Source organism: Homo sapiens, chromosome 9 (assembly GCF_000001405.40).
Source record: "Homo sapiens chromosome 9, GRCh38.p14 Primary Assembly".
Taxonomy (NCBI): Eukaryota; Metazoa; Chordata; class Mammalia; order Primates; family Hominidae; genus Homo; species Homo sapiens.
In genome coordinates, this window is record NC_000009.12 from 64,017,791 (window position 1) to 64,030,491 (window position 12,701).

General features: G+C 41.9%; 1 pseudogene across 1 annotated transcript in view; it reads left to right on the top strand.

Moving 5' to 3' along the window:
* Positions 1-12,701, top strand: part of FLJ43315 (asparagine synthetase pseudogene) — a 44,663-nt pseudogene that overhangs the window by 841 nt on the left and 31,121 nt on the right. The window contains 3 exon segments of the transcript NR_033856.1: positions 6,375-6,510; positions 8,323-8,440; positions 10,114-10,229. The product of NR_033856.1 is annotated as an asparagine synthetase pseudogene (transcript).

Consider the following 12,701-nt stretch of genomic DNA (forward strand, 5'->3'; position numbering starts at 1 on the left):
TTGCATTAGTGTGAGGGTGAGGGTTGTGGTTAGGGGTTAGGCTTAGGGGTTACGGTTAAGGGTTAGGGTCAGGGGTTAGGGGTCAGGGTCAGGGGTTGGGGTCTGGGGTCAGGGTCAGGTTCAGGAGTCCTACTCTGTGAGTTGTCTGTTTACTCTGCTGACTGTTCCCTTTGCCATGCAAAAGCTGTTTAGTTTAATTAAGTCCCAGCTATTTATCTTTGTTTTTATTGCATTTGCATTTGGGTTCTTGGTCATGAAATCCTTGCATATGTCAATGTCTAGAAGGGTTTATCCAGTGTTATCTTCTAGAATTTTTATACTTCAGGAATTAGATTTAAGTTCTTAATCCATCTTGAGTAGATTTTTGTATAAGATGAGAGATGCGAATCCAGTTTTATTCCCCTACACGTGGCTGACCAATTATCCCAACATCATGTATTGAAAAGGGGGTCCTTTCCCCACTTTATGTTTTTGTTTACTTTGTCGAAGATCAGTTGGCTGTAAGTATTTGGGTTAATTTCTGGGTTCTCTCTTCTGTTCCATTGGTCTATGTTCCTATTTTTAAACCAGTACGTTGGTGTTTTGGTAACTATGGCCTTATTGTACAGTTTGAAATAAAGTAGTGTGATACCTCCAAGTTCTTTTTGCTTAGGCTTTGTTTGGCTATATGGCTCTCTTTTGGTTCCATATTAATTTTAGAATTGTTTTTGTAATTCTGTGAAGAATGATGGTGGCATTCAGATGGGGATTGCATTGAATTTGTAGATTGCCTTTAACAGAATGGTAATTTTCACAATATTGGTTTTACCCATCCATGAGCATGGGGATGCGTTTCCATTTGTTTGTGTCATCTATGACTTCTTTTCTTTCTTTTTTTTTTTTCAGAGGGAGTTTCGCTCTTGTCGCTGAGGTGGGAGTGCAATGGTGTGATCTCAGCTCACTACAACTTCTGCCTCCCGAGTTCAAGCGATTCTCCTGCCTCAGCTTCCCGAGTAGCTCGGATTATAGGCATGTGCCACCGTGCTTGGCTCCATCTATGATTTCTTTCAGCAGTGTTTTGTAATTTTCATTGTACAGGTCTTTTGATTCCTTTGCTAGGTATATTCCTAAGTTTTGTTTTTTGTTGTTGTTTTTCACAGCTATTGTAAAAGGGGTTGAGTTCTTGATGTGATTCTCTGTTTGGTAGCTGTTGATGTATAGAAGAGCTACTGATTTGTGTCCATTAATCTTGTATCTGGAAACTTTGCTGAATTCTTTTATCAGTTCTAGGAGCTTTCTAGAGGAGTCCATAGGATTTTCTAGGCAAAAGATCATATCATCAGCAACAAGTGACAATTTGACTTCCTCTTTACCGATTTGGATTTCCTCTATTTCCTTCTTTTGTCTGATTACTCTGGCTAGGACTTCCAGTACTATGTTGAAGAGGAGTGGTGAGAGTAGGTTCCTCGTCTTGTTCCAGTTCTCAAAGGGAATGCTTTCACCATTTCCCCATTCAGTATTATGTTGGCTGTGGGTTTGTCATAGATGGCTTTTATTACATTAAGGTATGTCACTTTTATGCCTATTTTGCCGAGAGCTTTAATCATAAAGCAATGCTAGATTTTGTCAAATGTTTTTTCTGCACCTGTTGATATAATCATATTAGATTTTTTAATTCTGTTTATTTGATGTATCACATTTATTGACTTGCATATGTGAAACCACTCCTATATCATTGGTATGAAACCCACTTGATCATGGTGGATTATTTTTTGATATGTTGTCGGATTCAGTTAGATAGTATTTTGTTAAGGATTTTGGCATCTGCGTTCATCAAGGATATTGGTCTGTGGTTTTCTTTTTTGGTTATGTCCTTTCATGGTTTTGGTATTAGGGTGATGCTGGCTTCATAGAATGAATAACGGAGGGTTTCTTCTTTCTCTGTCTTGTGGAATAGTATGAAAAGATTGGTATCATTTCTTCTTTGAATGAAAGAAGACATTCTTTGAATGTCTGGTAGAATTCTGCTGTGAATCTGTCTGGCCCTCGGCTTTTTTTGCTGGTAATTTTAAAATTACCATTTCAGTCTTGCTGCTTGCTTTATTGGTCTGCTTGGGGTATCTAATTCTTCCTGATTTAAGCTAGGAGAGTTGTATTTTTCCAGGAATTTATCCAACTCGTCTAGGTTTTGTAGTTTATGTGCCAAAAGGTGTTCATAGTATCCTTGAATAATCTTTAATATTTTAGTGGTGTCAGTTGTAATATCCCCTGTTTTATTTCTTAGTGAGGTTATTTGGATTTTCTCTCTTCTTTTCTTGGTTAATCTTGCTAATGGTCTATCAATTTTATTTATCTTTTCAAATAACCAACTTTTTGTTTTATTTATGTTTTGTATTTTTTTGTTGTTGTTGTGTCAATTTCATTTAGTTCTGCTCTGATCTTGGTTATTTCCTGTGTTTGCTGGGATTGGGTTTGTCTTGTTCCTGCTTCTCTAGTTCCTTGAGATGTGAACTTAGATTGTCTCTTTGTGCTGTTTCAGACTTTTTGACGTAGGTTTTTAGGACTACAAACTTTGCTCTTAGCAGTGCCTTTGCTGTATCCTAGAGGTCTTGATAGGTTGTGTCATCCAGTTTGAAGAAATTTTTTACATTTCCATCTTGATTTCATTTTTCACCCAATGCTCATTCTGTGAGGAACAATCAAATTGTTTTCCTCAGCAAGGGCATCATTTTCTATTCCTAGCAGCCAGTTCATGAGGGCTCCAACTTCTCCACCTCCTTAGCAACATTTGTTTTCTGTGTCATTGTTATGAAAGCCTTACTTGTGGGTGCAGAGTGGCATGAATGAAGTGAATTAACATGTTTATTACCTCACAGAATAGTTACCTTTTTGTGTGTATGCGTGGGATAAGAAAACTTAACTCTATCCCCTGTGACTGAATAGTGGCCATTCCAGCTGCTCCAGGCTCCAGCAGCGGAAGACCAAGGTAGGTGGCTCCACCAGGGTGACCCTCAGGTCTGGCGCACACGCATTCCAGAGGCCACCCAGACCATGCTCTGCCGCCTGGGCGCCCAAGCTTCAGTCGCCCTCTGTGTGCAGGCAGCAGCTGCCTGGCAACCCCCGAGCCCGCTCGCGCTCCCACCATCGCAGAACCAGGGCCAGGTGTCCCAGTGGCTGCGGCCAAGCCAGGCATTCTGCCCTGCAGCAGAAGCTGCACAGGAGCGAGAACTGAGAACCCACCGCTCAACCCCACATGGGGTGACTGCCGAGTGCCCATACAAACGGCTCCGATCTCCCTAAAGTGGAGGAGTGGGCAGGAGGCACGGCCTGGGGGCCCTCAGCCTGGGCATGCTGGCGATCTCGAGGCCGACCAGGCCATGCCCCTCCAGCCCGCCTGGGCACCCGAGTTGCAGCCGCCTTCTGCATGCAGGCAGCAGCCTCCAGGCAACTCCCGAGCCCGCCCGCACTCCGCACATCTCGGAAGCAGGGCCAAATGTCCCTGTGGTTGTGGCCAAGCCAGGTGGTCTGTCCTGCAGCAGCTGCACGGGGGCGGGAACCGACCCTCAGCCCCATCCCCGGTGGCTGCAGAGGGCCCCTGGAGCGGCCCCGATCTCTCTTTGGAGGAGAAGAGGGGTGGGAGTCACGGCCAGGCGGGCCCTCAGGCGGGAAGGGATGCGCGCCTGCGATTCCGGGACGTCCCGCGCCAGCCCAGGAGAACCCGCAAGCCAGCGGCACCTGTTTCTCTGTGTGATTCTTTAAGGAACCACCAAATTGTTCCCCAGCAACTGCATCATTTTCTATTTCTAGCAGCCAGTTCATGAGGGCTCCAGTTTCTCCACCTCTTTAGCAACATTGATTTTCTGTGTCGTTGTTATGCAAGCCTTACTAGTGGATGCAAAGTGGCATCTCATTTGGGTTTTGTCTTACATTTTATTAATGAATAACGGTGTTTAGCATCTTTTCTTGTCCTTCTTAGACATTTGTGTATCTTCTTTGCAGAAATGTCTATTCATGTCCTTTGCCTATTTTTTAATTGGGATCTTAGAAATTCTGTTGTTGAGTTGTGGGATATTAAACTTTTATCAGATACACACTTTGATTTTATCAGACACATATTTTCTCACATATTATGGGTTGTCTTTTCACTCCCTTGATAGTATCCTTTGATGCATAAAGGGTTTTTATTTTGATTAAATCTAATTTTCATGTATTTTCTTTTGTTATCTGTGCTTTTCTGTCATATTTCAAAATACACTTAAAACTCAAAGGTCATAAAGGTTTACCGTGTGTTTTCTTCTAAGAGTTACATATTTTTAGTCCTTACATTTAAGTCTTTTATTAATTTAGAATTAATTTTTGTATATACTGCAAGGTAGGGGTCTAACTTCTCTCTTGTGCACTGACATCCAGCTGTTGAAGAGAATGTTCTTTCCTCCCTTGACTTGGCCACCTTGTTGAACAGTCATTGAGCATATATGTGAGGACTAACTTGTAGGATCTCAAATCTGTTCTATTGTATTGGTCTGAAAGTCTATTGGTCTTATGCCAGTACCACACTCTCTTGATTACTGTAGATTTGTAGTAGGCTGTGAAACTGAAAAATGTGAGTTTTCCAATGTTCTTTTTCAAGACTGTTTTGTCTGTCAGATCCTTTGAATTTTTGTATGACTTTAGAATGAGTTTCTTTGTTTCTGCAAAAATGCTTTTGGGATTTTGATGGTATTGCATTGAATCTGTAGATTATTTTAGATGGTATTGTCATCTTAACAATATTGTCTTACAACCTGTGAACACAGAATGTCTTTCCACTTATTTCCACTCTCTTTAGTTTTTTTCAGCAAAGTTTTGTGTATACCACCATGGTTAGATTTATGCCCGAATAACGTATTCTTTGATGTTATTATAAATGGAATTTTTAAAATGTTTTCATAGTTCTTTACAACTATATAGAAATATAGCCCATTTGCCTTATGTTTGTTTGCATCCTGCCTCTTTTATTAGTTATAATCGGTTTTGTGTTTTGTTTGGAGCTTTATACCCATAAGATCATGTGTAGATATAATTTTACCTATTTTTTATTTCTAATGTAGATGCCTTTTATTTCTTTGTCTTGCCTAATTGCTCTGGCTAGAACTGCCAGTGCTACATTGAACACAAGTGGCAAATGCACCATCCTCATCTTGTTCTAGATGTTAGGAAAACAGCTTTCAGTGCTTCATCATTGATCATGATATTAAGTGTTGGGTTTTTGTACATCCCATTGTCATGTTGCAGAAGATCCCTTCTATACCTAGTTTATTGAGTATATTTATTACAGAAGGGTGTTGTATTTCATCAATGTTTTCTCTGCATCAATTGAAATAATCACATCCTTATTCATTTTATTGTTAGAGTATATTACACTGATTGATTTTTTATATGTTGAGCCACCCTTGCATTTTGGGGATAAATCTCAAAGGGTGATAGTTTACAATCCTTTGATTATACAGTATTGCTGCTAGTATTTTGCTAGGATTGTTAGTATTTTGCTGAGATTTTTGCTTATATATTCATAAGGGATATAGTGCTGTATTTCTCTCTTTTGTGCTTTCTTTGTCTTTGGTATAAGGATAATGCTGTTATCAAAAAATGAATTAGTAAGTATTCCTTCTTCATATATTTTGTCAGAAGAGTTTGAGAATAAATGGTATTAATTCTTCTTTAAATGTTAGGTTGACTCACCAGTTAATGCAGCTATTTGGTCATAAATGTTTCTTTGTTAATCGCTTTCGATTACTAATTCAATCTCCTAGGTTATAGGTCTATTCAGATTTTCTCTTTCTTCATGAGCCACTTTGGTAGTTTTTGTCTTTCTAGCGATTCATCCATTTCATCCAGGGCACCTAATTTGTTGCTAGACAGTTGTTCACAGTGTACTCCTGTAAACCTTTTGTATTTCTGTAAAGTTGGTAGTAATGGCTCTGCTTTCATGTATTATTTTAGTAATTAGTCTTCCATCTTTTGCTCAGTCAATATAGTGAAATGCTTGATCTTTCAAAGAATCTATGTTTTTTCATTCTACTGCTCTCCAACCTTCTATTTTATTGATTTATGCTCTAATTATACTCTTTATTATTTCTTTCCTTCTGCTAGCTTTGGATTTAGTCTTCCACCTGGATTTATTTTGGGAGTGATGTTGATGTAACTTCATGGAAATAATACTAGATAGAAAGTTAGTGGATGGATTCTCTATCTGATGAGAGTTTTGGGCAAATCAAATACCAAGTTACCAAGTTTTATTTTTTTCTCTGATTCAGAAAACAATTTGGCAGCCGGTGAGAAACTCTCACAGCTCTGGATGTGAGTTTAGGACACTGGATTTCTACCATTCAATTTCTTACTACTTTTTTGCACAGGGATCATGGCACAAGTTGCAGTTTCCACCCTGCCCATTGAAGATGAGGAGTCCATGGAAGATGAGGAGTCATTGAAGATGATTCTGCGGAGAGCAGGATGGTGGTGACATTGCTCATATCAGCTCTCGAGTCCACAGTGAGATCTTGTGTTCTAACATTATATAATTGGGTAGGACTGGGTGGTAGATAAGGTTGACTTGTTTTTGTAGAACTTATAATTTTATGATTTGTAGTTCTAACGAGTAGATCTTTTTCTTGAATAGTAGTTATGGTCAAACACTTCTAACCAAATGTGCCATGTTGTCCAGCCTGGTCTCAAAATATGGGGCTCAAGAGACCTGCCCACCTTGGCCTCCCAAAATACTGGGATTAGAGGTGTAAGCCCCTGAATCTGGCCAGATATTTTTCTTTTTATGGCTGAATAATACTCTGTGTATGTATATATTACATTTTCTTTATCTATTCACCTATTGATGGGCATTAGGTTTGGGCTACATTTTGGCCACTGTGAATAATGCTGCTGTTAAATGGGTGTACAAATACCTGTTTGAGTCCCTGCTCTCAGTTCTTTTGGGTATATACGCTTAAAGGGTGTTGATGGATCATATAAATCTGTGCTTAATATTTTTAAGGAGCTTCTAAACCGTTTTCCACAGTGGGCTGTACCGTTTTACATTCCAAAAAGCAATGCATACAGCTTCCAATTTCTCTATAGCATTGCTGACAGTTAATATTTTCTGTTTATGTATTGTATTTTTATAGGGTTTGAAATTAATCTGAGGCTTTTTGCTGATACCGAAATATTAGGAAAGGTTTTCCAAAAATAATACTACTTATTATAAAGAATTTTACGTGTTACTTGATGCCCTGTGATCTGTTTTCTAAGTAAGAAGAGGAACTTCTCGGCTGGGCACAGCGGTTCATGCCTGTAATCCCAGCACTTTGGTAGGCTGAGGCAGGTGGATCACAAGGTCAGGAGTTCAAGACCAGCCTGCCAACATAGTGAAACCCAGTCTCCACTAAAAAAAAAAAAAATTAGCTGGGTGTGTTGGGGGGGGGGGCGCCTCTAATCCCAGGAATTCTGAAGGCTGAGGCAGAGAATTGGTTGAACCCATGAAGCAGAGGTTACAGTGACCGAGATTGTGCCACTGCACCCCAGCCTGTGTGACAGAGTGAGAATCCATCTCAAAAAAAAAAAAAGGAAAGAAAGAAGAGGAACTTCTCTCCATCCAGCCTCATTCCACTGCACCAACTCTTCTGTGTCGGGTTGTGCAGGGGAGAAAGGGAGCTTGGCACCTCTTTGCTGTGTTGAGTTGTGGTAGCCCATCACTGGGTTGTAAAGTGCCTTGCCTCCTTTCCTCCCCCTATTTTTTTTTGAGACAGAGTCTCACTCTGTTGCCCAGGCTCAGGTGCAGTGGTGTGATCTCTGCTCACGCAACCTTAGCCTCCTGGGTTCAAGTGATTCTTCTGCCTCAGCCTCCCAAGAAGCTGGGACTACAGGCACATGCCATCACACCTGGCTAACTTTTTTTATTTTTAGTAGAGACAGGGTATCACCATGTTGGCCAGGCTGGTCTTGAACTCCTGACTTCAGGTGATCCACCCACCTTGGCCTCCCAAAGTGCTGGGGTTACAGGCATGAGACACTGTGCCTGTCCACCTCCTCTTTTACTTGGGAGAAATGCACAGATTCTGCGTGCCATGTGCGTTTGTTTTGGGAGTGATAATTGATCTAACTTATGGAAATAATACTAGATAGTTAGCGGATGGATTCTCTATCTGATGAGAGTTTTGGGCAAAACGAATTCCTAGTTTCTGAGTCTTATTTTTCCCCTGATTCAAGAAAACTGTGAATTATCCAGCCGGTGAAAAACTCTCACAGCTCTGGATGTGAGTTTAGGACACTGGATTTCTACCACTCACTTTCTTACTACTTTTCTTGTGCAAGGATCATGGCACAAGTTGCAGTTTCCACCCTGCCCATTGAAGATGAGGAGTCTGTTGAAGATGATGAGTCCTTGGAGAGCAGGATGGTGGTGACATTCCTGCCAGCTCTCGAGTCCACGGTCAGAACTTCTGTTCTCACATTCTGTAGATTGGTAGGACTGGGTGGTAGATAAGGTTGATTTGTTTTTGTAGAACGTACAATTTTGTGATTTTTAGTTCTAATGAGTAGATCTTTTTCGTGAATAATAGTCACGGTCAAACACCTCTAACCAAATGTGCGTGTGGAGTTTCTACACTGATTTTCGGACAATCTGGATCCCAACTGGGTATCCCACAATTCCATCCTGACACTCCCTGGAGTTAGTGCAGACCCCGCAGGATGGAGGCTCAGTCCCAGGAGTCTACCCTCACTCCACATGCCAATTGCAAGTCTTGGGTTGTTACATGTAGTTTTGACCAACAAGTTAGAAAATAGGGTTTCATGACCCCATTGGTGGGTGGAATCATTTGCTCGGACAGCTTGCAGAACTCAGAAAAACAGATTGTTTTCTTATTTTTTCTGAGATACAGGGTCTCAGTCTGTTGCCAGGCTGGAATGCAGTGGTGTGATCAAAGCTCACTGTAGCATGGGACTCCTGGGCTCAAGTGATCCTCCCACCTCAGCCTCCCAAATAGCTGAGATTATAGGCCCGCACCAGCATATCTGGCTGTGTTCTTTTACTTTTTGTAGAGATGTTATGTTGCCCAGGCTGGTCTCAAATTTCTGGGCTCACATGATACTCCCACCTCAACTTCACAAAATGCTGGGATTATGGACGTGGGCCACTTCATCTCACCAATTTACTTTCTTTTATTGGTTCATTTTAAAGGCTATATCTCAGAAACAGCCAGTGAAAGAGATGTACATGCTGGGCACAGTGGCTCATGCCTGTAATTTCAGCACTTTGGGAGACTGAAGTGGGAGCATCACTTAAGTGCTCAGGAGATTAAGACCAGCCTGGGTAACATGGTGAAAACGCATCTCTACAAAAAGATTTTTCTAAAAATTAGCCAGGTGCAGTTATCTATAGTTCTAGCTACTCAGTGCCTATAATTCTAGCTACTCAGGAGGCCGAGGTGAGAGGATGAGAGGATGGGGCTTGAGCTAGGGAGGCATAGGTCGCAGTGAGCCACGATTGTGCCATGGCACTCTAGGCTGGGAGACAGAGCCAGACACTGTCTCAAAAAAAAAAAAAAAAAAAAAAAAAGACACACACACAGGGCAAGGTATGTCGGGAGGGGTACAGAACTTCCGTGTCCTCTATTGTGCATGTTACTTTCCTGGTATCTCCCTTGTGTTCAGCAACCCAGACATTCTCCAACTCCCGTTGTTGAGGGCGCTTATGAAAGCTTCATTATGCAGGCATGATTGATGAAGTCATTGACCACTGGTGATTAAGTCAGTCTTCGGCCACTGTTTCTTCCTGGAGCCCAGTGGGTGAGGCTGACAGTTCCAATCCTCTAATCACATGGTTTGTTCTTCTGGCAACAACCAGCCCTTTTTCTGAAGCTGTCTAGGAGCTTTCAGTCACCCAGTCATCTCAATAACATCACCAAATGCATTCTTACTATGGTGATCCCAAAGGTCTTAGAGGCTCTTATGTTAGAAACCTGGTACTAAGACCAAATATTGAAACAGAAGATGCCCCATCACCTTCATCACCAAGGCCTTTATAAGAACTTGAGAAGCTCTTTGCCAGGATGAGGGGCAGAAACCAAATGTGTATTTCTTTTCCTTTTCTTTTGAACACAGATTCTCTGTTTCACCGAATCTGGAGTGCAATGATGGAGTTTTAGCTAACTGCAGCCTCAACCACCTGGGCTCAAGCAATTCCCCCGCCTCCGCCTTCCAAGCATCTGGGACTACAGGTGCACACCATCCATGCCCAGCTAATTTTTGTGTTTTTTTTTTTTTGTAGAGATGGGATCTTGTTATATTGCTGAGGCTGGTCTTGAACTCTGGGGCTAAAGCGATTCTTTCACCGCAGCCTCTCAAGTAGCTGAAACTACAGATGCATACCACCATGCCCAGCTAATTTTTTCTTATTTCTTTTTGTTGTTTAATTGAGGGGGTCTCACTGTGTTTCCCAGGCTGGTCCCGAACTTTTGGCCTCAAGCGTTTCTCCTGCTTTGACCTCCTAAATTGTTGGGATTGTGGTTGTGAGCCACGGCCTCTGTGTCCAGCAATCACAAGAGGTCTTTATAAGTGAAAGAGGGAGATAAGAGAGTCAGAATTGAAGGAGATTTGATGATGGAAGCACAGGTCACAGAGGGAGATTCGAATATGCTTTGCTTCTGACTTTGAAGATGCAGTTAGGGGCCATGAGCCAAAGAATACGGGTGGCTTTAGCAACTGGGAAAGGCAAGGGAAAACATTCGCTCCAGAACCTCCAGAAGGGATGCAGTCCTGCTGACACCTTGACTTTAGCCTTAATAGACCTATTTTGGACTTCTGGCCCCCAGACCTGTTAGGTAGTAGATTTGTGGTGTATTAAGCCACTCAATGTAGGGTAGTTTGTAACAGCAGCAAGAAGAAATGAACATGAAGCCAGGGGTGGTGGCCCACACCTATAATTCCAGCTATTTAGGAGGCTGAAGCAGGATGGTTGCTTTGGCCCAGGGGTTCAAGATAAGCCTGGGCAACAAAGTGATACCCTGTCTACATGGAAAAAAAATTAGTGGGTATGGTGGCATGCACTTGTAGTCTTAGCTACTAGAGGCCCTGAGGCAGGACGATTTCTTGACCTAGGAGTTCCAGGTCTCAGTGCGTTGTGATCGTGCCATGGCACCCCAGTCTTAGTGACACAGCGAGATTTTTATCTTAAAAAAAAAAGAAAAAAGAAATGAGTGAGCATGGCAGGAATAGGAACAGATAGCAATATTAAATAGAGTGGTCAGGGTTGGCCTCCTAAGTGAAAATTGAGCAAAGACTTGAAGGAGGGGAAGGAGCTGGCCAAGGTACTGAGGGAAGAGCATTGTAGACAGAAACAACATAATAAAGATGCGAAGAGGGAACTCCGTGGTGTGTCTGAAGCTCAGGAAAGAGGCCTGTGGAGCAGAGAGAGGGAGAGAAGTAGGGAAGAAGGCCAGGGAGTTGTTGGGCTCAGATCAGTACAGATTGTGTAAGCCCTGGGAGGCTATTGCTGGGGCTTTGGCTTTTATTCTGTCTGAGATGGGAGATGCGGAAGGGTTCTGAGCAGAGAGGTGACACAAATTGTCTACTGATTTAAAAGCATCCCATGGTGGCTGAGTTGAGAAAGATTGTGGGAAGATTTGGGTAGAAGCAGGGAGGCCATGCTGTGGCAACCTCCAGGTGGGAGATGATAGTGGTTCTGACCAGGGTCCTGGCAATGGTGAGAGATGGTTGATTCTTGTTGAAATAGTAAGTAATTAAAAAAAAAACCCTATGGCTTTTCCCAATTATAGGAAGTATGGGATGCTAGATTAAAGAAATTTTAAGTCGGGCCAGGTGCAGTGGCTTATGCCTGTAGCATCAGCACTTTGGGAGGCAGCAATGGGAGAATTATTTGAGTCGAGGAGTTTGAGACCACCCTGTGCAGCAGAGCAAGACCTCCTCTCTATGCAAATAAAAATTAATAAAATATAATTATCCAAGCATAGTGGTATTTTTCTGTACAACCAGTTACTCAGGTTGTTGAGGTGGGCAGATCTCTTGAGGGTGGGAGTTTGAGGCCAGGTTGGGCAACATAGCAAGGCTCCTCTTTCTACAAATAAATAAATAAATAAATAAAAATTAGCTGGGTGTTTTGGTGGTCATCTGTAGTCATAGCTATGGTGAGGCTGAGGCAGGAGGATCCCCGGAGCCCAGGAGGTCAAGGCTGCAGTTAGCTGTGAGTGCACCACTGCATTGCAGCCAGAGTGACAGAGTGAGACCCTGTCTCAGAATACAGATACAAGTAAAGAAATCTCAACTCAGAGCAGTCTGTTTGTGACTATGCAGCCTTTGCAACCCCATAGCTGCGCGATTGAGTTTGTGTTGCTGGAGGTGAGGAGACCCGTGCCCAGGTGTTGTTGCCTGTCTAATCAGTTTATTTTAAAATATATTAATGAAATTTATTTCATCATACTTTATGGCTTCATACCTGAGTGGTTTTTTGAATCCTCCTTTGAATAGCTTGTAACTATTCAAACCTCTTATTGGTTCTATAATTAATTCTTTTTCTAATTAGCTTTTTAAAAATCAGAATTGATATTAGACTACCTAATCAGTTATTAATGAGGAGATGAAATTGAGTTGTTTGTACACTTTATCTAAGATAGTGTCATATTGGCTAACTCAAATCAATAGTTGAGCAAATGCAGAATTAGAGCTTCTTCAGC